Here is a 5,216-nt window from a genome sequence, read left to right on the forward strand (position 1 = left end):
CTGGGATTACAGGTGTGAGCCACCATGCCCGGCCCTGTGCATTATCTTTCAATAAAAGTTAATTTAAAATATTGCTGCAAGGGCATCTATGGGGCAGACATCATTGGTTGTTCCTCCCGTTCTTTGATGTCGGAATCCTGATTTCTCTCAAGGAGCAGCTTCTACATGCTTTAGGGGAGGTCCTCCACTCCATCGTGAAAGAATAATCCTGTTTGGTTCAAATCAACCATGTTAACCTCTCCACCCCACTCCCCACCCCACCCCACCAGTCTGTGACTGGTTTAGGAAAGGACATGTGACCCAATTCTGGCCAGTAAGAATAAGATAAAATTCTGCTGGGGTGGTTTCTGGAAAAGCATCATCCTTCTCAAAGACAGACCCACTACGGGTGTTGATCTTAAGGATGATGACCCCCCGCCGAGGAGAACCAAGCGAAACACAGCCTGACGCCCTGTGTCTGGAGCTGCCCTTACCTGGATTTCTTGATATGTGAAATTAAAACTTATTTACTATTGAAGCCAGCATGAATCTTCTCTTGTTCCTCAAAGCAGCTTAACCGGAAACATCATTTTGGAAAATGTGCTCAAGACTGCCCCTTAGCTAGGATTCTGCTCCTATCTAGATTTTTTTAAGATTAAGAAAAAAAAAATTGAGGCCAGATGGCTCACGCCTGTAATCCCAGCACTTTGGGAGGCTGAGGTAGGCAGATCACCTGAGGTCAGGAGTTCGAGACCAGTGTGGCCAACATAGCGAAACCCTGTCTCTACTAAAAATACAAAAATTAGCCAGGCATGGTGGCTCACACCTATAGTCCCAGCTACTCAGGAGGCTGAGGCATGGGGATTGCTTGAACTGGGGAGGTGGAAGTTGCAGTGAGCCGAGAATACGCTACTGCACTCCAGCCTGGGTGACAGAGTGAGACTCTGTCTAAAGAAAAACAAAAACAAAAAACAAACATTGAATTACAACTGTCACCCAGTACTATTTGCCCCTATTTTCACACCACACCACACACCCTGGCAGCCCAGTCTTTCTGGAATGTCCCCTAAAAAGTCGTGAGGACTTGTAAATGGCTAGGCACAAAGGGGAAGATAAAGGTGACAATTATTGGATCATTTTGATGTATGTGTCCTTCTCTCACACCTTTGACTGTTCATCAGGCAGACACTTCTTATCTCTTCTTCCTTGCTGGTAAGGACTGCACCCGTGACAGAGAAATGTCAGAAACTCACTTTCTCAGCTTCTCTTGAAGCTAGAGTGTCAGCATTGGGACCTTCTCCAATGAGTGGTCATTGAGACCCAAGAACAGATCCAGGGGTGTGGGGGGACTCTGGAAAAGACTTTCTTTCCTAATGAAGAGAGCTCTGCCAACAGAGTCTCTCCTTCCTGCCTTTTGTCATGGTGCGTGAGGATGTGATGTCTGGAGCTGTGGCAGCCATTTTACAGCCACGAGATTACAAGCCTAAAGGAGAAAGCTGACATATTTTCTTCTTCCTGCTAGAACATAAGCTTAAGGAAGGCAGGGGTTTGGTGTCTGTTTTATTAATCAGTCTATCCCAAGTGTCTATAATATTACTTGGCTCTCATAGGTGCTCATGAGTTGAATAAATATATGAATGAATGAATGCAGAGGGCAGTAGAGAAGAAAGATGGGTCCCTAATGATGTAATGTAGGAATCACCAAACCACAGTACTTCCCTCTTTTGGGGCTTCTTATTATGTGAAATAATACACGTCCTTATTGCTTAACCCACTTTGAGTTGGGTATTTTGTTACTGACAAAATTTTCTAGTGTAATTCCTTTTCTAGAGTGTTCAATTTCCAAAGTATTCCCTGGAGTGACTTTCTATAACCACCTGTGAGTATCTTGAGAAATCTTAGAGCTGGATTGGCACGTGGAGATCATTACGTTTCAATCCTCCCATTTTACAGGTAGAGAAACTGAGGTCCAGAAAAAGTACAAATGACCTTTACACAGGTCACTCAGAAAGTGCTGAAGACTAGAATGTCCATGTGTTGATGTGTTGTCCATTTCAATGACTACCACGCCCACAACCTTCTTAGGGGCCCTGCCCTGCCCACTGCTATGGATGAAGGGGTGGCTGGGGGATCCATGTTGCACTCTGTGGGCCCACCTTTCAGACTAGAGATAGAGTCTGCATCTGACCCTAGGACAGCCAACCAGATTTTTTCTCTAGGGGCTATGAACAAAGAAAACCCAGTAACTGGAGCCAGTTATGGGGGAGAGAAGAGATGCTTTGATAGGCAACAGGCAGTCAATGTAATGAGAAAACAGAGGTGGGATGAGAAGAAAGAGACCGTGAAAGACACATACCTAGGGGAGAAGGGATAGAGATCCCACAGGCAGCTGCTTCTGCCCTGACATTTTCCAATTTAAATTAATGGATATTCTTTTGATAACTGATATGGCCTGGCCCTGTGTCCCCACCCAAATCTCATCTTGGATTTTAATTTGAATCATAATCCCCACGTGTTGGGGGTGGGATCTCATGGGAGGTGATTAGATCATGGGGACAGTCCCCCCATGCTATTCTTGTGATAGTAGTGAGTTCTCACAAGATCTGATGGTTTTATAATTTTCCCCCTTCAGTTTGCCCTTCTCCTTTCGGCCACCCTGTGAAGAAGGACATGTTTGGTTCCCCTTCTACCATGATCGTAAGTTTTCTGAGGCCTCCCCAGCCATGCTGAACTATGAGTCAATCAAACCTCTTTCCTTTATAAATTACCCAGTCTTAGGTAGTATCTTTGCAGCAACTTGAGAATGGACTAATACAATAACCTACCTCCCGTTTCTACCCTGGCCAACAAGCAGCTCCAGTTTGTTCTCCACAAAGAGCCAGAATGTTCTCCTTTGTGCATGAACCAGATCCGGCTGGAAAACCTCCAATGACTTCCCAAATTCTCAGAGAAAACAAACAAGTGTCCAGCTCTATGGGTCTTCTTTCAGCTCCTGGAGAATGTCCAGCATGCTCCAATCTCAGCACTTGGCACTTGACCTCCTCTCTGTCTGGAACATCAGTGCCCCAGATGTTCATGGGGCTGGCCACTTTCTTTCTTTTTTTTTTTTTTTTTGAGATGGAGTCTCCTTCCATCACCCAGGCTGAAGTGCAGTGGCGCAATCTCGGCTCACTGCAACTTCTGCCTCCCAGGTTCCAGTGATTCTCCTGCCTCAGCCTCCCAAGTAGCTGGGATTACAGGTGTGCAACACCACGCCCAGCTAGTTTTTGTATTTTTAGTAGAGACAGGGTTTCACCATGTTGGCCAGGCTGGTCTTGAACTCCTGACCTCAAGTAACCACCTACCTCAGCCTCCCAAAGTGCTGGGGTTATAGGCATGAGCCACTGCGCCCTGCCTGGGGCTGGCCACTCTATCCTCTCAGTCTCAAATGGTACCTCCTCGGCGAGGCCCTTTGTGTTTGTTACAGTGGCTACTGTAACAAATCACTGAGAGTCTAGTTGCTTAAAACAACACAGATTTATTCTATTGTAGTTTGGGAGGTCAGAAGTCCTAAAGATCTCACTGGGCAGAAATCAAGGTGGTCGGCAGGGCTGGTTCCTTCTGGAGGCTCTAGGGGAGGGTCCATTCCCATGTCCTCCTGCCTTCCAGAGGTTGCCCATATTCCTTGGCTCATGCCCCTTCCTTCACCTTCATCATCATCATCATTATTATTATTATTATTATTATTATTATTACTATTGTTAGAGATTGGGTCTTGTTCTGTTGCTCAGGCTGGAGTGCAGTGATCCTCCTACTTCAGTCTCCCGAGTAGCTGGGACTGTAGGCACACACCACTACACCTGGCAAATTAAAAAACATTTTTTTTTTTTTTAGAGATGGGGTCTCCCTATGTTGCCCAGGCTGGTCTTGAACTCTTGGCCTCAAGCCATGCCCCTGCCTTGGCCTCCCAAAGTGCTGGGATTACAGGCGTGAGCCACCATGCTCATCTTCCTCTGTCTTCAAAGCCAGCAGCATAGCATCTTCCAGTCTCTCATTCTGATCTTTCCGCCTCCCTCTTATAAGGACCCTTCTGATTATATTGGGTCCACCCAGATAATCCAGGATCATCTCCCCATCTCAAGACCCTTAATCACATCAGCAAAGCCCCCTTGCTATAGAAGGTAACATATTCACAGGCTCCAGAAATTAAGATGGCGTTTCGAGGTGGGAGGGAGGCATTATGCTGCCTCCCATGCCCTCCTTGATCATCCAATGTAGAGACCCCCCCCACCAACTCACGACATTTCCTCTCTTGCCTTATGCCCTGCTCTCATTGTGTTCATGTCACTTACATAATTACTATGGCACATACAAGTTTATCTCTCTCTCTCTTTTGTTTTTTTGAGCTGGCATCTTACTGTCGCCAGGCTGGAGTGCAGTGGCGTGATCTCTGCTCACTGTAATCTCCACCTCCCAGGTTCAAGCAATTCTCCTGCCTCAGTCTCCTGAGTAGCTGGGATTACAGGTGCATGCCACCATGCCTAGCTAATTTTTGTATTTTTAGTAGAGAGGGGGTTTCACCATGTTGGCCAGGATGGTCTCGATCTCCTGAACTTGTGATTCGCCTGCTTTGGCCTCCCAATTATCTCTCTCTTTATTGTCTGTCTTCCACTCCTGGAATGTGAGCTCTACAAGGCAGGAACTTTTTGGTCTGTTTGGCCCAATGCCTTATCCCCAGCACATGGAACCATTCCTGGTGCAAAGTAGCCACATGGGCCCGGGTGTGGTGGCTCATGCCTGTAATCCCAGCACTTTGGGAGGCTGAGGCGGGCAGATCACTTGAGGTCAGGAGTTCGAGACCAGCCTGGCCAACATGGTGAAACCCTGTTTCTACTAAAAATACAAAAACTAGCTGGGCGTGGTGGTGGACGCCTGTAATCCCAGATGCTTGGGAGGCTGAGGCAGGAGAATCGCTTGAACCTGGGAGGTGGAGGTTGCAGTGAGCCGAGATTGTGCCACTGCACTCCAGTGTGGTTAACAGAGTGAGACTCCATCGCAAAAAAAAAAAAATAATAATAATAAATAAATGAAAATAAAAAATAGCCACCTGGCCAATATTTATGAAGAAGGTGAAAAGTAGTCTGACTGGACCTCTGTTTCTCACAACCCAAGTGACCTCATAGACAAAACACATGAGCCTGGAGGCGGAGATATGACTTGTTCACAGCCACCCTGCACAGGGAGGAGACACAGGAAGA

The 5,216-nt window shown here is 46.7% G+C and overlaps 1 annotated feature.

Annotated features, from left to right (window-relative positions):
• Positions 952-1,115: a silencer, noted in NCBI's record as "fragment chr19:51442294-51442457 (GRCh37/hg19 assembly coordinates)". NCBI's record gives its function as "represses an EF-1alpha promoter that drives an FKBP-Casp9 reporter gene in an ReSE screen in K562 erythroleukemia cells {active_cell/tissue: K562}" and the evidence as "EXISTENCE:reporter gene assay evidence [ECO:0000049][PMID:32094911]".

This window comes from Homo sapiens, chromosome 19, assembly GCF_000001405.40.
Source record: "Homo sapiens chromosome 19, GRCh38.p14 Primary Assembly".
NCBI lineage: Eukaryota > Metazoa > Chordata > Mammalia > Primates > Hominidae > Homo > Homo sapiens.